The sequence below is a fragment of the Homo sapiens genome, chromosome 10 (genome assembly GCF_000001405.40).
Source record: "Homo sapiens chromosome 10, GRCh38.p14 Primary Assembly".
NCBI classification, from domain to species: Eukaryota; Metazoa; Chordata; class Mammalia; order Primates; family Hominidae; genus Homo; species Homo sapiens.
The window spans coordinates 87,236,642-87,262,086 of record NC_000010.11 but is presented as its reverse complement, the minus strand read 5'-3'; the positions used below and the strand labels follow the sequence as shown (position 1 = coordinate 87,262,086).

Below are 25,445 nucleotides of genomic sequence, written 5' to 3'. Positions count from 1 at the left end.
TACCCAGGCTGGAGTACAGTGGTGCAATCATGGCTCACTGCAGCCTCCACCTCCTGGGCTCAAACAGTCCTCCCACTTCAGCCTCCTGAGTAGCTGGGACCACAGTCATGCACCACCACACATGGCCAATTATTTTATTTTTTGTAGAGATGGGATCTCACTATGTTGTCCAGGCTGGCCTTGAACTCCTGGATTGAAGCGATCCTCCCGCCTTGGCCTCCCAAAGTGTCAATTACAAGTGTGAGCCACTGCACCCGCCCCTCATTCACTTATTTATTGACAAATGTTTACTGAGGTATTATCATATGTCAGGCATTTTTCTAGGCATTGGGAATATAGCAGTGTATAAACCTGATACTCACTGCCTTGATGGAGCGTAACTTCTGATTGTGGTAAGTACTGCAGAAGAAAATGCAGGCTGCTACAGGAACCCCTTCAACATAAAGAACGGTATGAAAATATTGTACAAAAATATGATTCAAAAATCCTAAATGAAATTCACATTATCATTTACATGTAAGGGCAGAAGAAAATTTTTGAATATGCATGCATTTATAAATATATCCCCATGTACTCTTTTGCAGAAAACTAAAAGAACATAGAACTAGAATTTACACATCAAAATAGAAAAAGATGACCTGAAGATAAAAGAGATGATAGGATTTTTTTTTTTTTTTTTTTTTTTTTGAGGCAGAGTCTCGCTCTGTCACCCAGGCTTGAGTGCAATGGTGGGATCTTGGCTTATGGCTCACTGCAACCTCTGCTTCCCGGGTTCAAGCAATTCTCCTGCCTCAGCCTCCCAAGTAGCTGGGATTACAGGCATCTGCCACCATGCCTGGCTAATTTTTTGTATTTTTAGTAGAGACGGGGTTTCACCATGTTGACCAGGCTGGTCTTGAACTCCTGACCTCAGGTGATCCACCCGCTTTGGCCTCCCAAAATGCTGGGATTACAGGTGTGAGCCTCCACGCGCAGCCAATGGTAGGAATCTATTTATAGAGGATATGTTGAGAACAAAAGCAACCTGAAGCCACACAGCTTAAAAAGATTAGGAACTGTTTGGTTGGGCATGGTGGCTCATACCTGTAATCCTAGCACTTTGGGAGGCCAAGGCAGGAAGATTACTTGAGACCAGGAGTTCAAAACCAGTCTTGCCAACATAACAAGAATCTGTCTCTATATAAGAAGATTAAAAATTAGCTGGGCATGGTGGCATGTGCTTGTAGCCCTAGCTACTTGGGAGGCTGCGGTGGAAGGATCACTTGGGCCCAGGCATTCCAGCTTATGATTTCAGTGAGTTATGATCACAACACTGAATTCCAACCTAATGGATGGAGAGAGACTATGTCTCTAAAAATAAAAAATAAAGAGATTAGGAACTGTCTGCACTAAGATGACTTTACTATTCCAAGAAATCCTTGCCTAAGAAAGTAAAGTTGAAATTACTTTTTTGTCCTGGAAACTTTCCGATCTATGTATCTGTACTCATACAGCCTCATCGGGCTAAACAGCCTTCTTTTCAGAACAGTAGATCACTCAACTGGGTTTTCAAGTGACTGTTTACCTTTCAAGGCTGGCTTTATAGGTCTTGCCTCACTGTATCCAGCAATCCAAACTTTACCCTATCCCAGTCAGGACTGCACACCTCATGTTGAAAGACATACCTTAGAACCAGACTCCCCAAAGCTTACCAATATCCCACCCTTGACTCCCTTTTCTGAGGCTACTAAGATTATGTGAAGACAGTCATCTTCCTTACTGCAGTGAGCAATAAACTTGGTTTTTGTTCATCAGTAAACCATTTTGGTGGTTTCTGGAGGAGCCAGCAGTTGGCAATGGTTATAAATCTAAATCTAAAAGCCATTTATAAAAGACTGATGAATCTAGTAACATAAAAATAAACTGCATGATAAATATCATAAACAAAGTCAAAAGACAACTGACAACCAGGTTAAAAACATGCTTTCAACATATATTACAGGAAAAGGGCTAATATTCCTAATATGTAAATAATTGTTAGAAATTAAGAGATCAAGCACCAAGCACCCATTAGAAAAAATGGGAAAAGGGCATCAATAGACAATTCACACACACACACAGAGACACACAAATGGCTTTAACAACTCTATAGAAACAGAAAGTAGGTCATATCTTTGTTCTGTGAAAAGGCTGTGCACACAAAGCTATTCCCAAATGCTGAAGAAGCCCAGAAACCAAAGAAGGAAGTGAACAAATCCAGTTCGTCAGTAATGGGTGATTTACTGAGGAACTTATGGACAGAAGTGTGATCTTGGATGACTGCAAGACAGGTAGATCTCCACACTGTTATTTCCCAGACCCAAGGTTTGGGTACCGTATGGAAAGGGTACACATGCTCCAGCAAAAACGATTAAAGGCAACCCTCCAGAACAGGCGAAAATGCTATGTGTGTCCTAGCCTATAATTTGTGTGATAACATCAGGGTTGTTTTGATCTTATACTAGGGACAGTAAATAAAGTAGAAACCAGAAGTTATTCATGGGACTGGGTCTAATCAGAAGTCAACATGGTGGATTAGCATCCAAGATGGGGTGGTTTTTGTCTCCACAACCTTAACAAGGCTGTTGAAAAAGTGATCCGTAAATATACATATAATCACTTTTCAAAGTCAAGAAACAATAGATGCTGGCGAGGCTGTGGAGAAAAAGGAATGCTTTTACACTGTTGGTGGGAATGTAAATTAGTACAAGCATTGTGGAAGACAGTGTGGTGATTCCTCAAGGATCTAGAACCAGAAATACCATTTGACCCAGCAATCCCATTACTGTGTATATACCAAAAGGAATATAAATCATTCTATTATAAAGATACATGCATGTGTATGTTTACTGCAGCACTATTCACAGGAGCAAGGACATGGAATCAACCCAAATGTCCATCAATGGTAGACTGGATAAAGAAAATGTGGTACATATACACCATGGAATATTATGCAACCATAAAAAGGAATGAGATCGTGTCCTTTGCAGGGACACAGATGAAGCTGGAAGCCATCATCCTCAGCAAAGTAACACAGGAACAGAAAACCAAGCACCTCATGTTTCTCACTCATAAGTGTGAGCTGAACATTGAGAACACATGGACACAGGGAGGGAAATAACACACACTCGGGCCTGTCAGCGGGTTGGGAAGAGGGAGAGCATCAGGATAAATAGCTAATGCATGCAGGGCTTGATACCTAGGTGATGGGTTAGTAGGTGCAGCAAACCACCGTGGCACACATTTACCTACGTAATAAACCTGCATGTCCTGCACATGTACCCCAGAACTTAAAATACAATTTTTTAAAAAGAAAAATACATATATATACCTGTAAAGTGCAAATTCATAACTAGAAAAATGCAGATTAAAAAAATGCTAAGCTATTATTTCTCACCTATCAGATGGGTAAAAATTAAAATAAAATTTTAACTAATAAAATGTAATAAATTAAAATATGACAACACATTTTGTTAGCCAGATCTTAGGAAAATAATCACTCTTTTCATTGCTGTTAAGGAATACAAACTGCTACAACCCTTCTCAATGGAAACTTGGCAATACCTAATATAACTACATAAGGAGCCCTATAATCTCACTTATAAAATCTACCCTGAAGATACATATCCAACAATATGAAAAACATATGTACAAGTTTATTCATTGTAAGATTATATATAATTGCTAAATTTAAGAAACAAATTAAATACTCATATATAGAACAGTGGTTTTTAAATAAACTCTAACAATTCACACAAGAGAGCACTATGCAGCTATAAAATAAATGAGGAAGAGCTCTATGGATTCATATTCAGAGATTTCCAAGGTATATTCTTATGTGGAAAGCAAAGTACAGAAGAATATCTAGAGTATACTACTCTTCATGTAAGAAAGAAGTATATATAAGAAAATATACATATATCCACATATATGAGGAAAAACATACTGGAAAGTTAAACTAGAAACAAATGAGATTCGTCACCTACAGAGGTTAAGTAGGATCAGCGTGGAAAAATTGGGGAATAAAAATGGGTAGAAATGATTAGAGAGATGTGACACACTCAGAGTATTCCTATATGCATAGCTCTAATTCCTATAAATATGGTAATGTTTCACCCCCCCCCAAAAAAATAAATAATTAAAATTAACCAGGATGTTGGGGAAGGGAAGACCCAAAATGGAATATAAGCAGTAACAAATAAGCCCAACTGTATTACAAATAAATGACATAATTATACTAAATGGGATAAAAAATAAAAGAATTATCTAACATAACCTGGAGAACATTATTTTAACCATATACTAGAAGGCTAAAAACAGAAAGAACTGTATGAAAATATTGTACTTTAGTAAATTTGTTTTTCATAGGGTATGGGTTAGTATTTCTGAAACTACTTTATGTATATACTAGGATTGAGTAATTAAGAAATACACTGTGGATATTGAGAGCCAGTTTTCTGTCAGATAAAAGAGTTAAAATAGAGAAATTGTGAAGTAGCACAAACTCCAGATTGAAATCAGAGCAGGAATATCAGTGTGAACTCATGGATATACATGCAGTGAGATCCCAGTAGCAATGAGCACAACTAGTTTCCAGATCTTGGTTTCTAAATACCATTCTCGATGAAAGGAACCAGAGCTCCCTGGGGAAATGACTGAGTCCAGACTAGAGCAGGAGGAATGCAAGATGAGCTTAGACCATTTAAAGTGCCAGAAAGTAAAGACATGTTCACAAAATAATGGGGGCCAAGTCTACAAGACATCGGAGCCAACTTAAAGGAGCTACTAATGCCCAAATCTGGACAATTTGAACAACATGATCAACTGTGTGAAAGGCAAGTACAGAAGTGTATCTAGAATATATTACTCTTCATGGGGTTGTTTTACAGTTAACTTTTTTTTAATAAGTAGAAGGAGTACACTCTAGAATAATGATAAAAAGTATAGTATAGTAAATACATAAACCAGTAACATAGTCACTTATTATCATTAAGTATTATGTACTGTACATAATTGTATGTGCCATACTTTTACATAGCTGACAGTGCAGTAGGTTTGTCTGCATCGCATCACTATAATCCTGTGAGCAATACGCTGTGTTACCAGGTTATGAAAGCTACCATGTCACTACATGATAGGAAATTTTCAGTTCAATTATAATCTTATGGGACCATCCACTATCATACATGTGGCCTGCCATTGACCTAAATGTAATTATGAGGTGCATGACTATATATAAATATACATATGTTGGACATTCTGATAGGAAAATGCCTGGATATATAAGAAACAATGCTTTTACCTCTGAAAATCTGAATAAGGGAGGCTAGAGAGATAGAAAGACTTTTACTCTTCATATAATAATCTTTTTAAAAAATAATAAACTTTTAAAAATACTGTCAATATTATCCTAGGAAGCATAGTTTTATTTCTGTTTTCATTAATTAATTTGGACCCAGCATTGATGAAGTAAAGTTTAACTTTTATTTTAGTTTTTCTCGATTGTTGAATGAACATTCTTTCTCCCAGTTTCCAATTATGTTATCTACATTGAATCACTGCTTGACTCCATTTCCATATTTGTAGTGTTAGTCCCTGGTAAGACAATAAACTTCCTTATAAGCAAATTTAGAAGCAATTATTTAATTCAAGCTTGCACAATTTTCTCGAGTCCAGCACGAGTTGTTGCCACATCTAACAATAGCAAAGTAAAGGTTGCAATGCTTACTAGTGATGATTTCTTGAGGAAGAAAAATAAGTCTTACTTAACAATAGAAACCTTTTTTGTCTTGCTGCCCAAGTCACCAATTTTATATAGGGGAAGTAGTTAAAATTAACTAATTATGACAATTCCAGGGTAAATTAATTTCTTAGAAATGTTTCAGAGAATAATACTTTCTGCCTCAAAAGTATGCATTTATTATGTATCAAATAAAATTTTAAATTTAGAGAACATTGAAGAAATATGAGATCAGAGAAATCAAAGATTATTATTAAATTACATTTCTTTTGGTATCTCCTGAGATTTCTCAATTATGCATTACTTGTATTCATTCATTTATTCATCAAATACAATATTTATCTAAAACCTGCTATGACCAAGACTGGGTGAGGAACTGGAGACATAGCTATTAAAAAAATAGTATTTATATTTATAAGTGATGAAACAAAAAGAAAAAATAGAAGGTGAATCGGTAGGTAAAAAGAGACAATAGACTACCAGCCAATCTCAATGTGTGAACCTTGTTTGTATCCTGATTCAAGAAAAGACATTAAAAAGATTGTCTGAAAGAGATAATTAAAAATCTGAATTCTGCCTGGATAGTTGATGATATTAAAGAGGTATATTATTCATTCTTAGGTGTAATAATGACATTGTGGTTATGTTACAAAAAGGAGTCATTTCAGAAACAGACTGAAATATTTACAAATAAAATCATGTGTTGTCTGGGACTTACTTCAAAATAATGTGTGAGTGTAGGGAATGGGCAGGGTTGCAGTAGGGACAGGATTGGCCATGGGTTGATGGTTACTGAGGCTGAGCGATGGCATGTGAGGTTTTATTATTTTATTGTTTACTTTCATCTATTTTCAAAAAGTTAAAAAATCAGCCCTCCCTTTGCTGAAAAAAGAAAAAAAGAAAAGAAAAACTACAGGTTTTGTCCCTGCCTCCTGGAGCTTTCAGTTGTAGAGAGAAAGCAACACTTACTGAGAAACTAAAAGATGATGTGTGTTGTAAAATGAGAGTGCAGGGTGACATTGCAATTGAGCAAGCTATCTTGAGGTAGAGAGAGAAGGTAGTCAAAGATTTTGTTGACAGTTTAGTTAGAACTAAAATTGATAGCGCCATTGTACTCCAGTCTGTCACAGACTGAGATATTATCTCTTAAAAAAAAAATGGCCGGGCTTACTTTGGGAGGCCGAGGCAGGTGGATCACCTGAGCCCAGGAGTTCAAGATCAGCCTGACCAGCACAGTGAAACTCCATCTCTACTAAAAATAGAAAAAATTAGATGGGCGTGGCGGCACACACTTGTAATCCCAACTATTCGGCAGGCTGAGGCACGAGAATCGTTTGAATCTGGGAGGTGGTTGTTGCAGTGAGCCGAGATCGTACCACTGCACTCTAGTCTGGGCGACAGAGCAAGAATCTGTCTCAAAAAAAAAAAAAAAAAAAAAGCCTATAAACTAAAATTGAGAGATGGGTGGACTTGTGTGGGAGAGAGAAGATAGGGGCATATGCCAGACAGAAAGCAGCATGTTCAAAGGTCTGAAGCATATGTACATGTATGCAGTTTACATCCTATATAAGTCAAAATTGGATGTAAAGTTTAAAAGTTAGCTGAATATTTTGTTTACATATGTCATAGCGTTTATCTGAAGCTGAGCAGGATATATCCACATTATTCTTTGCCATGTCATCTCCAATTACATGCAAGTAAATTCAACAAGATTTGTTCTCTGTATGAGGGACGTAAAGTTGAATAACTCATGGTCACTTAAGAACCTTACAGTCCAATGGTAGAGACAGATATATTTGTCTATACCTTAGCAAAGTAAAACATGAAAAGATCTGTACTAATGGAATGAGCTGGATACTGTGAGTGTATTTAGGAGGAGTGATTAGTTACGCCTTATTAGAACAACAAAAGGCTCAGAGAGGAGCATGCCACTAGAGCTGGGTTTTAAAAGTTAAGTAGGACTTGATTAGGTAGAGAAGGGGAAAGAGAGGCCATTCTAAGCAGAAGGAACAACGTGAGCACAGACTCAGACTCAAAAGTACATATTGTATCCAAGGACCTGCAGGTAAATGATGTGGTTAGAACACAGGCTTAAAATAAAATTAAAAATGGCCTGGCGCGGTGGCTCACGCCTCCAGAACTTTGGGAGGCCGAGGTGGGCAGATCACAAGGTCAGGAGTTCAAGACCAGCCTGGCCAACACGGTGGCCAATATGGTGAAACCCTGTCTCTACTAAAAATACAAAAATTAGCCGGGCATGGTGGCACGTGCCTGTAGTCCCAGCTACTCGGGAGGCTGAGGCAGGAGAATCGCTTGAACCTAGGAGGTGGAGGTTTCGGTGAGCCGAGATCGCGCCACTGCACTCCAGCCTGGGCAACAGAGCGAGACTTCGTCTAAATAAATAAATGAATAAATAAATAAATACAATTTAAAACATCTGTTCAGTGCTGTGATAAGATGTCATTTGCATGTTTATATTTTTCTTTTTTTTTTTTTTGAGACAGAGTCTCGCTCTGTCGCCCAGGCTGGAGTGCAGTGGCGCGATCTCGGCTCACTGCAAACTCCGCCTCCAAGGTTCACGCCATTCTCCTGCCTCAGGCTCCCGAGTAGCTGGGACTACAGGCGCCCACCACCATGCCCAGCTAATTTTTTTGTATTTTTTTAGTAGAGACGGGGTTTCACCGTGTTAGCCAGGATGGTCTCCATCCCCTGAACTCGTGATCCGCCCACCTCGGCCTCCCAAAGTTCTGAGATTACAGGCATGAGCCACCGCGCCCGGCCATGTTTATATTTTCCAAATGCTTCGCAAAGAAATAAATGCTTCCTGGCTTCCATCACAGGCATTGCAGGAAAGGAATTGTCTAACTAGATGACTACAGATAATACAAAGCAGTGAATAAAAATAGAAGGCAGTTCAGAATATGTTTCAGCTCTCGATTCTCTAAGAAATTGATGACAAGTACAACTGAGTTAACATCAAAGCATCAAACCAAGCTTTTCATAAGTGAATTCAGCCATCTTCATGGTGCCTGGGCTTCCTTGCTGGCTCCTGTCCTCCTGTTCACCTCTGGATTTGGTAGTTCCTTTAGACTTGGTCCTGATCCTTTTTCTCTTCTCATGTTACTTTTTTTTCCATGGCTTTGAATATATACTTATGACTCCATATTTAGCACCAACTCAATCCTCTCTTCTCAACCTCAGATCCAAATACCCAAATGCTTTCAAGGCATTCTTACTTAAATGTCGCACAAATGTAAGATGTCTACAGCTGTACTTGTTCTTTTCCATCAATCCTGCCTCACCTCCAGTCTTCCACATCCTAATGATGCCACCTTCTACTCGGATATTCAAGCCAGAACCTGGATATTATCCCTGACTCCATCTCCCTCATGTTACACATTCAAACTCTCACTAAGACCATTTGGTTCTACCTAAAATTTTGTCTTGAATCTCTCCATTTCTGCCTTCTTTACTGCTGCCACCCTAGTATAAACTATCATCCTCTCTTGCAACAACTTTCCAAACGGTCATCTACCTTCCACTATTGCCTATGACAATGCATTCTCTATCTTAGAAGATGAAGATTCGGTAATTCCCCTGATTAGAATCCTTTAGTGACTTCCCTCTACTCTTTGATGAAATGCAAAATCCTAACTAAGGCTAGCAGCTTCCTGAAAGATCTGCCCCTATCTCTCCATCATTTCAAATCATTTGTTGCCTGTGTCATTGTCCTGTTGGTTTTTAGGGTCTTAAATGTGTCCAGAACCAGCTCACAACCTTCATGCTTGTTTTTTTGTTCTTTCCAGAAAGTTATTTTCCCCTGTCTCTTGGTTGGTCCTCTCTTTTTAGGGAAAGCTTTTGCTAGGACTTAGAAAGTAAAAATCTGTTCCATCACTCATCAAGCTGGATTAATAAACATTGATAAAACTAGCTGCAAAGTTTACGGGAAACTAGTTATCCCAAAGACATGCGATAAAGCTTCATAACAACCCCATTCTTTGAGTGATTACTGTTTTCTTACTTGCTAAGAAACTTTGTTCTTTGAAATTATATTATTATAACATAAAACATCATAGTGTCTTGGAGACTCTAAAACACTTTGACACAGAGAATCAGCCTCCATTTCCATTCCAGCCACAGAGCTTAAGAAAAGGGCTTCTGGACACAATAATCCATATCTGTCTTAACTTTCTAGTTTTCAAGGAAGCAGACCCCTGGATCCTGCCCAGACCTGATGTTGACTCCTGATTTGCTTTGAGTTCATCAAAAGCCACTTAAATGGTTTCATTTAAATCTCACCCAAACTCTACTCTTCCCCCAAATCCTGTAATGATTATCTTGTCCTTGTTTGGTGAGTGAGATGCCTCACAGTTCTGTGTGTGATCTCCCTCACTGCAATGAATCTATAAATATGACTTTGTCGAACTCTAAGTTGTTTCCTTGCGCTTGTAGACTGATTGAGGTAGGACATGTGACTCTTCTTCAAAAAGTCTTCTCTAAAGTTCCCACGACAAAATAGGTCCTCCTAATTCGTTGTATCATCAGCACCTTCTACTTTTCTTTCATAGTGTATTATATCCTTCAAGACCCCAAAGGAATTCGATACTTAAGTCAAAATATTTGGTTAAAAATATTAATCAGTTATGTCTGCTCCACTTTGTCGGTAACGGGGTAAAGTGGAAAACAATCCAAATGTCCAATACTTAAAGTTTGAAGCAGGTTAAATATTCCTTACCTCCCATACTACATCTCATGATGTTTGCATGGTGCATAAAAGTTTTGTAAGCCTGTAGTAATTTGAAAGATTAATTTTTGACCAATTTGAAAAAGTTTTTAAGCAAGTTGAAGAACCTTGACAAACAAGCAAAGCGGGACTGATTAACTGAATTAGAAAGAAAAAAAACCTGAAATGGTAAAAAAAAAAAATTATTTAACACATTCTTTTTATTGTTTAGTTTCTTATGTGTATTTTTATGTATTTATTATGGTATTAAACCAAGGAATATCTTATGACAGGAAAGCAAAAACAATACAAAGGACACAATAATTCCACCTATCTACAAGTAGTAGAACTTAACATCTTTCTTTCCTTAACACATTATCTCCCACTGAACACAACAATTTTTTTTTATTTTTTTATTTTACTTTTTATTTTATTTTATTTTTTTTTGAGACGGAGTCTCGCTTTGTTGCCCAGGCTGGAGTGCAGTGGCGCCATCTCAGCTCACTGCAAGCTCCACCTCCCGGGTTCATGCCATTCTCCTGCCTCAGCCTCCCAAGTAGCTGGGACTGCAGGTGCCTGCCACCACGCCCAGCTAGTTTTTTGTATTTTTAGTAGAGATGGAGTTTCACCGTGTTAGCCAGGATGGTCTCGATCTCCTGACCTTGTGATCTGTGCGCCTCAGCCTCCCAAAGTGCTGGGATTACAGGCATGAGCCACCGTGCCCAGCCCAACCATTTTTTATTTTAAACAGTCTTGTCATTGAAGCTTTAATATTATTAATTTCTAAGCTCCAAAACCTGAGGGAGGAAAGGGAAGGCTGAAGTCTCAAGAAAGAGCAAAGTAGTGAGATGACTGAGATGCAACTTCCTACCTCACAAGTTTGTCTTGGGTTAATTCTAAGGCCTAAAAACTACCAAGTATCCACTCAGTAAATAGCTGTTGAATAAATGAATGAACAGATGTCTCAATAAGCAAAATTGGTTTAATATGTCTATTTAGTGTTCAATTTCTCATAAGGATGTTATTTCCATGTTTAGGATAAAAATTCAAAATAGAGTTTTCAGCTCCTTACATTAGCTAAGGTGGGTGTACATTTATCTCCTGCCTGGTACCTTTCCTTTCCGACAAGTTTCTAGTCTGCTGTATTACACTATCTAAAACAGCCACTCTGAGCTGACTAGCACCTTATCACTTTAGACTTTCCTCACCTCCTCTGGCCCGGCACATCTAATATTTTGTTTAATCCTAAGTACTCCAGTTATTGCTCATGTCAAGAACAGACACATTATCACTGGAATTCAGGCTGAGGAAGAAACTCCAATGAAGCCTTCAGTCTCAACATTAAGAATCAAGGAAGGCCTTTATTTATTTATTTTTCAAATACCAGCCATCCTTCATCTGCACCCCAAATCATCAAATGTTTTTATCAACTCTCTGTAAAAATTTTGAATTTCTTAAAAAACTGAAACAGAGATGATAAATACAAGTAGCCAGTTTTAAGTACCACTGCTTCTTACTTCAAAGAATTTCCTCTAGATTTGCTATTGTTTGCAAAATATATAGCGGTGGCTTACGCCTGTAATCCCAACACTTTGGGAGGCCAAGGTGGGTGGATCACGAGGTCAGGAGATCGAAGCCATCCTGGCTAACACAGTGAAACCCCGTCTCTACTAAAAATACAAAAAATTAGCTGGGCGTGGTGGCACGTGCCTGTAGTCCCAGCTACTCGGGCGGCTGAGGCAGGAGAATCACTTGAACCTGGGAGGCAAAGGTTGCAGTGAGCCAAGATCGTGCCACTTCACTGCAGCCTGGGCGACAGAGTGAGACTCCATCTCAAAAAATAAATAAATAAAATAAATATATATAAAACATATATTAAATATTCCAGTTACAAAAATAACAATTACCAAAAACTCCAACAAATAATATCTGTGCCTAATATACAATGTGGCAATGTTCATTATGAAGTTTTAATACAGAGAACTTTTTTTCAGAATTTTTAAGAGAATAAATTTTTCTTTTAAGAATACCTAAGCCTTATGAACATCTGATGTTCAAATACCCAGCAATGGCTGGTCGTCTTTTGCTTGCCTAAACTCCATCTGAACAATGGCAAAGCTCTGCTGAACCAACCAACATAAGGAATTGCACATCCCCACATTTCTTTCCATCTTTTTCTTTTCTGTCAGACTTTCACTCTTTTGCTGATAGTAAGTACCCTTAATCTATTAAAAGAAATACAAAAATCACTTCTGACTTGCCTATTCTGTTTCATTATATGCATATTTACATCACCACTGTATGACAAATTATTTCACCTCATAGACCCTGTTTTCTGATCTGTAAAAGTGGTTAATGGTACTTACCTAAAAGGTTGTAAAATTTTTTAAAATAAAGTCTGTAAAGCTTTCAGTGCAATGCCTTGTATTTGGCAAGTGCATTGTAAATGGGAGTATTATCTACATCAACATCTTCATCAAGATTACAGTATTGCTGTGACTCATTCCTGATTAAGGTCATGCATTACTTAACAAGGATATAGTCTGAAAAATTCATCATGAGGTGATTCCATCGTTGTGCAAACATCATACTGTGCACTTACACAAACAGAGATGGTATAGTCTACAACACATCTAGGCTATATATGGCATTGTCTATTGTTCCTAGGCTGCAAACCTGGACAGCCTATTATTGTACTGAATACTGTAAGCAGTTGTAACATAATGGTCAATATTTGTGTACCTAAATGTAGAAAAGGTACAGTAAAAGTAAACTATAGAAGATATAAAGTGGTACACTTAGGCCAGGCACAGTGGCTCATGCCTGTAATCCCAGCACTTTGGGAGGCAGAGGCAGGAGGATCTCTTGAGCCCAGGAGTTCAAGACCAGCCTGGGCAACATGATGAAACCCTGTCTGTACCAAAAAAAAAAAAAAAAAAAAAAAAAAAAATTAGCTGGGTGTGGTGGTGTGTGCCTGTGGTCCCAGCTACTTAGGAGGCTGAGGTGCAAGGATTGCTTGAGCCCAGGAGGTGGAGGCTACAGTGAGGTTTTTTCTTTTTCATTTTCTTTTCTTTTGTTTTTTTTTTTAAGACAGAGTCTCACTATGTTGTCCAGGCTGGAGTGCAGTGGCATGATCTTGGCTCACTGCAACCTCCGCCTCCCAAGTTCAAGCAGTTCTCATGCCTCAGCCTCTCGAGCAGCTTAGGACACAGGAGTGTGCCACCATGCCTGGCTAATTTTTGCATTTTTAATAGAGACAGAGTTTCACCATGTGGGCCAGACTGGTCTCAAACTCCTAGCCTCAAGTGATCTGCCTGCCTCAGCCTCCCTAATTGCTGGGATTACAGGTATGAGCCACTGCACACAGCCTATAAGCTTTCTTCTATTTAAAAATTTTTATTTATTTATTTTTTACTTTCAAACTTTTTTGTTTAAAAATGAAGACATAGCCAGGTGCTATGGTGCAAGCCTATAATCCCAGCTACTCAGAAGTCTGAGGTGGGAGGATTGTCCAAGGCCAGGAGTTCAAGGCTGCAGTGCAATATGATTGCACCTGTGAACAGCCACTGCACTCCAGCGTGGGCCAACATAGTGAGACCTAGTCTCAAAAAAACAACAAAAAACAAAAAGACATAAACACACATTACACATGAGACTAGGCCTACACAGGGCCAGGGTCTTCAATATCACTGTCTTTCACTTCCCTATCTTCTCCCATTGGAAGGTCTTCAGGAGCAGTAACATGCATGGAGCTGCCATCTCCTATGGTAACTATGCCTTATCTGGAACACCTCCTGAAGGACTGTTTTGCAGTTAACTTTTTTTTAAGTATAAAAAAGACACTCTAAAATAATAAGACAAGTATAATATAGCAAGTACATAAACCCATAACGCAGTCGTTTATTATCATTATCAAGTACCATGTACTGTACATATTGTATGTACTATACTTTTATAGGACTGGCAGCACAGTAGGTTCGTTTACACCAGCATCATCACAAATATGTAAGTAATGTGTTGTACAATGATCAGCTCTGACATATCTGGGCAATAAAAATTTTTCAGCTCCACTGTAATCTTAAGGAACTACCACTGTATATGAAGTTTGTCATTGACCAAAAGGTCATTATGTGGTGTGTGACTGTAATATAAAAATAGCTATTGTGATAAAATTATTTTAAGGGAGGGAGACAATGGGTTTGGAAGTAAAATTAGTCATTTTGTTAGTTTTTTATTGCTGCTGTAACAGATTATGACAAACTTAAACATTAAAATAACACAGATGGGCCAGGAACTGTGACTCTCACACTTATAAGCCCAGCACTTTGGGAGGCTGAGGCAGGAGGATTGCTTGAGCCCAGGAGTTGGAGACCAGGGTGGGCAACATAGTGAGACCCCATCTCTACAAAAAATAAAAAATAAAATTAGCCAGGTGTGGTGGCACATGTCTGTAGCTCCACCTACTCAGGAGGCTGAGGCAGGAGGATCATTTGAGCCTGGGAGGTTGAGGCTGTAGTGAGCCCAGACCATGCCACTGCACTCTAGCCTGAGCAACAGAGCAAGACCTGTCCCTAAAAAAATAAAAATAAAAAAAAACAACACAGATGTATTGTTGTATAGATCTGGAGATCAGAAGTTTCAAATGGGTTGGCAAGGCTGCTTTCCTTCTGGAGGCTCTAGGAGGAGAATCCATTTCCCTGTCTGTCTCAGCTTCTAGAGGCTGCCCACATTCCTTGGATCTAGCCCCCGCATCACTCTGACCTCTACTTCATCACATCACCTTCTCTCCCTTTGTCTCACATTTCCTTTTTTATAAAGATCCTTGTGATTACATTGGGGACATCAGATAACCCAGGATAATCTCCCAATTTCAAGATCCTTGACTTAATCACATTTGCAAATTCTCTTTTGCCATATAACGTAACAGTGATAGGTTCTGAGGATTTGCATATGGAAATAATGGAGGCCATTATTTAGTTTAACCCAGTCATTAAAAAAAAAATTGGGGCATTTAACCTTCTAGAAACTGAACTGAAATTTCTCCATAATCAATAGAAAACTTTCTATTTTCTCAACACTAGTGAAACCTGCTTTTCTTTGGTGACACCAGTTGATAAAACTATTTTTGATTCAATATGTTGCTTTCCCCTTTGGTTATCAGTAGTTTAATTGAATTATTGACTACAGTTTTATGGCAAATGTGAATTCTGGGTTGAACAAACTAAATTGAGATGCAAATACCAATTTGTAACATTGATCCTGTGGGTGAATAATTTCATAGTCCCAACAAATGTACTTATGTTTACCAACTTGCAATACAAGGTCTTTTTAAAAGTAATTAATTTATTTTTATTTTTATTTTTTTAAAGACAGGGTCTCATTCTGTCTTGCAGGCTGTTGTACAGTGGCCTGATTATAGCTCACTGTAGCCTCGAAATTCTGGGCCGAAATGATCCGCCTGCCTCAGCCTCCAAAGTAGCTGAGACTACAGGTATGTGTCACCACACCCAGCTAAATTTTATATATTTTTTCTAGAGACAAGGGTATGTAGCCCAGGTATTTGACCCTCCAAATCTGATGTTGAAATTGGATACCCAGTGTTGGAGGTGGGGCCTAATGGAAGGTATTTGGCTCATGGGGCAGATCCCTCATGAATAGATTAATATTCTCCCTGGGTTGCAGGTGAGTGAGTTTTTGGTCTCTTAGTTCCTGTGAGAGCTAGGTTTTATGGGATTTTTTTTTTTTTTTAGGCTGGTCTTGAACTCTTGGGCTGAAGAGATTCTCCCACCTCAGCCTCCCAAGGTGTTGAGATTACAAGCATGAGCCACCTCACCTGGCCAAGAGCTAGTTGTTAAAAGAGCCTAGCACTACCCCCCTCTTTCTTGTTTCCTCTCTCACCATGTGATCTCCACACACATTGGCTTGCCTTCCCTTTCTGACATGAGCGGAAGCAGCCTGAGGCCCTCACCAGATGTGGATGCCAGTGCCATGCTTCTTGTACAATCTGCAGAATCATAAGCTAAATACACCTCTTTTCTTTATAAATTACCCAGCCTTGGGTATTCCTTTATAGCAACACAAACGGAGAAAGACATATGCAATTTGCCATTTTAATCATTTTTAACTGTACAATTTGGTGGTATTAATTATATTTACAATGTTGTGCAACCGTTACCACCATCTATTACCAAAGCCCTTTCATCACCCCAAATAGAAACTGTGCTTATTCAGCAAAAACTCCCATTTTCCTCTCCTTCCAGCCCCTGGTAACCTCTGGTAACCTCTAATCTACCTCCTGTCTCTATGAATTTGCCTATTGTAAATATTTCACATAATGGTATCATACACTATCCTTTTGTGTCTAGCTTATTTAACTTAGCATAATGTTTTCAAGGTTCATCCATCTTATAGCATGTATCAGTATTCCATTCTTCTTTTCTATGGCTGAATAATAATTGTATGTATATACTGCATCTTGTTTATCCATTTATCTTTTTGTTTGTTTGTTTTTTAAAGACAGGGTTTTACCATGTTGGCCAAGCTAGTCTCGAACTCCTGAACTCAGGTGATCCGCCCACCTTGGCCTCACAAAGTACTGGGATTACAGGCGTGAGCCATCGTGCCTGGCCTATCCGTTTATCTTTTGATAGACATTTTGGTTGTTTCTACCTTTTGTCTATTGTGAATAATGCTGCTATGAACATTAGTGTACAAGTCACTGTTTAAGTTGTTGTTTTCAATTCTTTTGGGTATTGTATTAGGCCATTCTTGCATTGATATAAAGAAATACCTGAGACTGGGTAAGTGCCAAAGAAAAAAGGGTTTAGTTGGCTCACATTTCTGCAGTCTGTACAGGAAGCATAGCAGCATCTGCTTCCAGGGAGGCTTCAGGAAGCTTCCAATCATGATGGAAGGCAAAGTGGGTGCAGGTATGTCACGTGGCAAAAGCCAGAGCAAGAGAGGAAGTGGGGAGGTGCTGCACACTTTTAAACAATCAAATCTTGTGAGAACTCACAATCTTGATGACAGCTAGAGATGGTGAAGCCACTCATGAGAAACCACTCCCATGATCCAATCACCTCCCACCAGGCCCCAACTCTAACACCGGAGATTAATTACATTTCAACATGAGATTTGCATAGGAACAAACAGTCAAACTATATCCGGTATATACTTAAGAGTAGAATTACTGGGTGATAATTCTGTTTTACGTTTTGAGGAATTGCCAAACTATCTTCCTCAGCAGTTAAACCATTTACATTCCCACCAGCAGTATACTAGGTTTCCAATTTCTCCACATGTTCAACAACACTAGTTATTTTTTCTTCTAATTATAGCCATTCTAGTAGGTACAAAGTGGTATCTCATTGTGGTTTTAGCATCTTTTGAGTTGCTTATTGACCATTTACATGTCTTTTTTTTAGAGAAGTGTCTAAGTATTTTGTCCATTAAAAAATTGAGTTATTTATCTTTTATTTGTTGAGTTGTAGGATTCTTTATGCATTCAATTCTTTTGGGTATTGTATTAGGCCATTCTTGCATTGCCATAAAGAAATGCCTGAGTATATTAGTTTTTTGTCAGATGTATGATTTGCAAACATTTTCTCCAATTTTTTGTGTTATCTTTTCACTTTCTTTATAGTGTCACTTGATACACAATTTTGATGAAGTCCAATTTATCAGTTGTTTCATCACTTGTACTTTTGATGTTATATTTAAGAAACCGTTGTCAAACCCAAGGTCATGAAGATTTTTCAGTATGTTTTCCTCTAAGAGTTTTATAGCATTTAATATTTAAGTGTTTTATAGCATTAAATTTTGGTCTTTGATCCATTTTCAGTTAATGTTTGTACATTGTGTAAAAGTATAGGTCCAACTTCATTCTTTTGCTTGTGGATATCTAGTTTCCCCAACACCATTTGTTGAAGAGATTGTCCTTTTCCCCATTGAGTGATCCTGGAACCCTTGCTGAAAATTAATTACCCATAGATGTGAGTGTTAGTTCTGGCCTCTCGATTCTATTCCATTGGTCTATATTGTCTACCTCTGTGCCAAGTCCATGCTATTTCAATTATTATAGCTATGTAGTAAATTTTAATATCAGAAAATGTGAGTCCTACAACTTTGTTCCTCTTCAGATTATTTTGGCTATTTTGGGTTCCTTGAAATTTTATATGAATTTTAGAATAGGTTTTTCCATTTCTGCCAAAAGCGCTGTTGGGATTTTATTAGCGTGATTACATTGACTCTACATATCATTTTGAGTAGCGTTGTCATTTTAACAATATTAAGTCTTCCAACTTATGAACACAGGATCTCTTTCCATTTATTTAAGTCTACTTTAATTTCTTTCCAGAATGCTTTGTAGTTTTCAGTGTACAAGTCTTCTGCCTTCCTGGTTAAATTGATTTCTAAATATTTTATTCTTTTGGGTACTACTGTAAATAAAAAATTCTTAATTTCCTTTTCAGATTTTGTACTGCTAGTGTGTAGAAACACGACTGATTTTTGTGTGTTGATTTTGTATTCTGCAGCCTTGCTAAATTTGTTTATTAGCTTTAAGAGGCTATTTTTGGTATTCTTTAGGGCTTTCTACACTTATATCACTTGCAAATAGAGATAGTTTTACTTCTTCCTTTCTAATTTGGATTTATTTTATTTCTTTTTCTTGCCTGATGGGTCTGGCTAGAACTGCCAATACTATGTTGAATAGAAGTGGCAAACACAGGCATCCATGGCTTCTGATTTTAGTGGAAAAGCTTGAAATTTTTCCCCATTGAGAATGATGTCAGTCGTGAGTTTTTAATACATGGTCTTTATCATGTTGAGACAGTTCCTTTCTATTCCTGGTTTGTTGAACAGTTCTATCATAAAGGAGGAATGGATTTTCTCAAATGTTCTTCTATATCAATTGAGATGATCATGAGTTTTTCACTCCTTCATTCTATTACTTGGTGTATTACATCGACTGATTTTCATACGTTAAACCACTCTTAAATTTCTGGGATAAATCTCAGTTGGTCATAGTGTAAAATTCTTTTAAGGGCTGCTGAATTTAATTTCCTAGTATTTTGTTGGGGATTTTTGTATCTATAATGCATTCATAGGGGACATTTGGCTATAGTTTTCTTGTATTGTCTGTCTAGCTTTGGTATCAGGGTAATGTTGGCTTCATAGAATGACTCAGAAAGGGTTCTGTTTCTCAACTTTTTGGAGGAGTTCGAGAAGGATTAGTGTTAATTCATTTCTAAACGTTTGGTAGAATTCACCAGCGAAGTCATCAGTTCCTGGGCTTTTCTTTGTTAGGAGAGTTTTGGTTGCTGATTCAATCAGAATTGAATATCATTACTTTTTATAGATCTATTCAGATTTATTCTTTGTTCTTGAGTCAACTTTGTTGGTTTGTATGTTTCTAGGAATTTGTCTGTTTCATCTAGGTTATCCAATTTTTTGACATATAGCTCTTATACGAATTCTCTTACAATCCTTTTTATTCCTATAAATCAGTAGTAGTGTCTTTCATTTCTGATTTTAGTAGTTGAGTATTCTTTTTCCTTAATCTAGTTAAAGCTTTGTCAACTTTGTTGATCTCTTCAAAGAACTAATTTTTTGTTTCATTGATTCTATTGTTTTTCTATTCTCTATTTCATTTATTTTTGCTCTAATCCTTATTATTTCCTTCCTCTTTATGGCTTCAAACTCAATTGAACATAAAGTATTAAGAAATTTGACTTTTTTTCTCAAATGTCTAAAATGTAAGAAGAAATATGTCTAGAGTCATCAAAAAGCAGCCTGTTTGTCAGATTTACTGTTTAATCCATGTAAACAGCTTTCATATAATTCATGATAGAATATTACTATGTGCTTTGGAAGACACTGAGGAAAGACAAAAGGTCATTGGGCAGAACCACCCTAGATTGACTGTTAAGGCCATCTTCTAGTTTGCAGGACTTGTGGTAGACAGACAGAATAATATCCTGGACCTCTTGGGTGTATACAGGACAAACTGAAATAAACTCTCATTTTTAGATCATAATGTCATCATGAAACATATCAATTCGGTCTATTTCTGAAGAAAACAAGCACAATGATAAAGTTTGAATGTTTGTCTCCTCCAAATCTCATGCTGACATTTGATCCCCAATGTTGGAGGTGGGGCGCACTGGGAGGTGTTTTGGTTACGGGGGCAGATCCCTCATGAATGGCTTGGTGCTGTCTTCATGGGATTATGTTCTCACTCCTACTTCCTGTGAGATCTTATTGTTAAAAAGAATCTGATACCTTCCTCCCCTCTCTTGCTCTCTTCCTCCCTGATCATGTGACACACGGGTTCCCCTTTGCCTTCCACCACGATGGAGGCTTCCTGAGGCCCTCAACAGAAGCAGATGCTGGTGCCATGCTTCTCGTACAGCCTGCAGAATTGTGTGAGCCAAATAAACCTCTTTTCCTTATATATTACCCAGCCTCAGGTATTTGTTTATAGCAATAAAAACAGACTGAGACACATGATGAAGACCCTTTGATATCCTATAAATATTGATTTCTCTCCCTGAGAGAAGAGCATGAATCTAAGTGATGCCATTACTGTAATGTGAATTCCACAACTTTTCTCAAAGATGTGGCCCATATGTTTCTAATAATGGCTTTCTAAGAATCTGTTCTGAAGGGGTACCTTCTCTCTGATTTTCATTTGCATTTCCTGCTTAGCTTACACACTTCAACTTGCCTATCCACCTGTCCTGACCCCAATAACCTCCATCATCAGACATCTCATCTTACCTACCTACTTTCTACTTTTCCCAGTCCTTCCCGTGCTTCATAAACCATGATCATGAGCTAGAGACACAAGGTCATAGCTAAGGAGTTGGGATCAGAAAATCACCTTCTGTGATTTTCCATTATTCTCAATACGTAACTTCAACAAAATCAAGAAAATCATGAAAGGACATCCTAAGGGGTCAGGTGAGGTTGCAGTGGGGTTAGTCGGTCAATAGTTTCTTTATGCCAATTAGGATTTCTGCAGAAAACAATGAAACACTGGTTTAAACAGTAAAAATATTTTAATTCCTTACAGAAGCCCATGGAACATACACTCCAGGTTTAATTCATCAGCTCAATAGCATCATCAACGACTTAGGTTCTTTCCACTTTCTGCTTGTCATCTGTGTTGGCTTTATTTTCAAGCTAGCTCCTCCCTGGTTGCAAGATAATTGCAGCAGGTTTAGTTATCATATTCGGACATGCTAACGCCCAGGCTAGTGATCCCTTCCTTACATTTCTTTCTCATTTTAAGAACAAAGTGTTTAAAAAATTATACTTAAAATTATTGGCATCTCTGTCAATTGAAAGATGTCAATCTCTTTCATTTTTCCTAATCACTAATAACATCTACTAAAAACAAAATGTCTGTGTAAATAATTTATTTGAATAAAATTAAAGTTGTTGAGTGAGCTCGGCTTTTGAGGAGTGGGAAAGGAGGGGTGCATAGATTAGTGGAAGATGAGAAGCTAGTGGGGCTCAAGTCCAGCAGGAGCAGGAGTTTGGAGCCAGGACTTCCTAGCCTCTCAGGGTTTTTTTTTAACTTCCTTACCTGAAATGATTTGTGCTATATAACTTGTCCTGGCTAAACTTTCTTAATCTCAACTGTTTCATTTAATCAATAACAACTACTGCGCCACCTTCATAATATCAATTTTCAGCATTTCATTTACTGAATATCATTTCCTTTCCTTCCAGACTATTCTACTGTGTCAAATTCAATATTCCTTTGACTCAATAGGATCTCCAATCCAGTGACCCCATTATTTGTTTGTTTATTAGGACAAGAAAAACAAACTTTCCCAGAAACTCCCCAGTAGACTGCTCCTCATATCTCGTTGGCTAGAACTGAGTTGCGTGCCCATTCCTAAAACAAAACTGGCAAGAAAGATAGTTACCAAGATTGGTTCAGACCAAATCAGGATTTTTTCCTGAGGAGAGGATAAAGTGAGCTTCCCGGGAGGCAAATATTTACACATTCCAAAGATTCCAAAGAAAAAAAGAGAATAAATACTGGGTCGTTAACTAATAGTAAGTGGTACGGTATTACAGGTAAAATTTATCCTTTTAGCCCTAGCAACAAGTGACACCTTCTGAAGCCATTATTCATTTGTCAGGAATAGGGCAAGTATCAGGAAAAGAAACACCGAAATAAACTCTGTTTCCATTTATTGCATTCTAGCACTGGTTCTACCAAATATTTGTTGGATGACTTTAGGTAAAGCATCTAGCCTCTCTGTCTTGATTGCCACACCCACAATATGAGATAAATATTATTCTGCATACTTCCTGGGAGAGCTGGGAAGATAAAATCAGATCATTATACCACATAAAGCAAAGCAATAACACTTCCATATTTTAGCTTCCCACACTGCCTATCTGTCCTATTTTCATTTATTCATTTATACTTTTTAACAAACAGTTGCTAGTAGTTTGCTTAATGTAAGATATGGGATGAATATTTTCATGATGGCCCCTGCATCTAAGTTATCATTTAGCAGTACCTGCCTTATCTCTTGTACAGAATCAGATTAGACAGCATAGGAAGAATGAAAAGGTGAGGTGGGATAATAAGGAATGTTGTTTGTGGAAACATAATGGTTGCTTCAATTTGAGTGTAAACTGTCCTTTTTACTGAAGCAATTGCAACCAAGTGTGTGAGTTCACAGGTGCCTACATTGCTTTTTTGGCTTAGGTATTGTTTGGGTTTTAATACAGACAAATCAACTCAATCAAAGAAACCAACTCAAAGAAAGATGGGTCTACATACAACAAAACTGAACAAAATCTGCAAGAAGAGTGATTCATACATGGGCTATTGAGGCAACATGAGATGGACATTAATCGACTAAGTAAAAAACAGATTTCTTGAAGAATTAATAAAGAACTTTTGTTTTGGAAGTTCTCTATTGTTTAAAATTAGCCAGATGTGGTGGCCTGCACCTACAGTCCCAGCTACTCAGGAGGCTGAGGTGGAAGGATCACTTGAGCCCAAGAGGCGGAGGTTGCAGTGAGCTGAGACTGTGCCGCTGCACTACAGACAGCCTCCTGCATGACAGAGCCAGACCCTGTCTCAAAATTTGGGGGGGAGTAAAGTTCTCTATTGTTTGAAATAATAACGAAACATTAAAGGCTCTAAAGTCAGCTAACGAATAGTCCTAAAAATAGAATGGCTCAAAAAGATTGTCCAATTTTGGAAAACTAACATTTCAAAAAGTTGTTTCATTTTTTATGAATCCTAAGATTTCCATATCCTAGAAAACTAACATCTCAGAAAAAAAAAAAGATGGTAAAACACAATTGCCATCATCTATGCCTGTTCTGGAAAAATACAGAGAAGAAGAGAGTGTTTGGTTTTTTTAACCAGGATTTGGAAAGCCATTATTTATCTCTGTGATAGAATAACAATATGTTTTGGATGGAGGGTAATTCTAGGGGAAATTATATTTCTGAAGAACAATGTTGGTTTGTGCAGGAAAATCACCAAAGAACATGACTAGAAAGTGTATAGCTACAGTTTCCCTCTTTTAAATGGGAATAGCAAAACATATAAAGAATATTGATAGGCCGGGTGCGGTGGCTCACGCCTGTAATCCCAGCACTTTGGGAGGCCCAGGCGGGCGGATCAAGAGGTCAGGAGATCGAGACCATCATGGCTAACACGGTGAAACCCCGTCTCTACTAAAAAATACAAAAAATTATCCGGGCGTGGTGGTGGGCGCCTGTAGTCCCAGCTACTCGGGAGGCTGAGACAGGAAAATGGCGTGAATCCGGGAGGTGGAGCTTGCAGTGAGCCGAGATCGCGCCACTGCACTCCAGCCTGGGTGACAGAGCGAGAGACTCTGCCTAAAAAAAAAAAAAAAAAAAAAAAAAGAGTATTGATATTTTAAACCTACTACAATTTTGCATCTAGTTTCTCAAGTAGTTCTGTGGATTTAGAACCAAAATTTGCTGGGGGGAAAGAATTACCAGCATCAAAGTCCTAGGATGTGTCAGGGCACCAGAAGAGAAGTTTTGTCACTGTAAAATAACTCTCTTGGCAGAACATGATGGAGACTGTAAACAGCAGGTTACTTCAATGGTTATGTGCGGTTCAGTGAAGTTCTCTACATTAACTGAAGCACAACTCACTGCGTCCCAGGCTCTCCTGGTTCACGTGTGATACACTGCACTTGGGGTGGAGGTGTGCTGACAGTTGTAAAGGGCTGAGCCTTTCTTTCCCGTGGCTCTGATGCACGGTTTCCAGATACCAGTCATGAAGGAAGTTCTTGAGATTATGGACTTTGTCCTAGTCACATAGGGCTGCTAGGACAAAGTGCCATAGACTTGGGGGTGGTGGCACATATTAAAAAAAGAAATGTATTTGTCACAGTCTGGAGGCTGGAAGTCCGAGGTTAGCATCCCAGTGGGCAAGGTTCTGGTGAGGGCTCTCTCTCTGGCTTGCAGATGGCCGCCTTCTCACTGTGTCCTTGTGTCAGGGAGAGAGAGAGCTCTGGGGTCTCTGCTTCTTACCAGGGCCCTAATCCCATCATTAGGGCCCCACCCTCATGGTCTCTTCTAACCCTGAATAACTCCCAAAGGCCCCATTTCCAAATACCATCACGTTGGGGGTTAGGGCTTCAGCACAGGAACTGGGCGGGGGACGTATGTTCAGTCTACCAGAGCCCCCCAGTCAGCCCCACTGTGCCCATTTAGGGGCAGATTGTAGGGCTCAGGTGGGACACAGAGGTGGAGGAAGCACAAGTTCTGCTTCCTAGGAATGGCTCAGCCAAGACAAGGACAGGGACAGTAGGATAGACAACAGCCAGTGGGGTAACCAGTAGGAGCCCCAAGGTGTCACTTTCACCCTTAGGTGAGGAAGTTGGCTGGGCACCCACACACGCCAGAGTATGGACCATGTTCCCTTCAAACACGGCTCACTTAACA

At 38.5% G+C, this 25,445-nt stretch overlaps 1 long non-coding RNA gene across 1 annotated transcript in view; it reads left to right on the top strand.

Annotated features, from left to right (window-relative positions):
• NUTM2A-AS1 (NUTM2A antisense RNA 1) overlaps positions 1–23,420 on the top strand; it is a 103,892-nt gene extending 80,472 nt beyond the window's left edge. The window contains exons 5-6 of the long non-coding RNA NR_024397.1: positions 15,875–15,972; positions 23,215–23,420. This is a non-coding gene — a long non-coding RNA (NUTM2A antisense RNA 1). The remainder of the gene's footprint in view (positions 1–15,874; positions 15,973–23,214) is intronic.
• Positions 23,421–25,445: the final 2,025 nt, after the last annotated feature.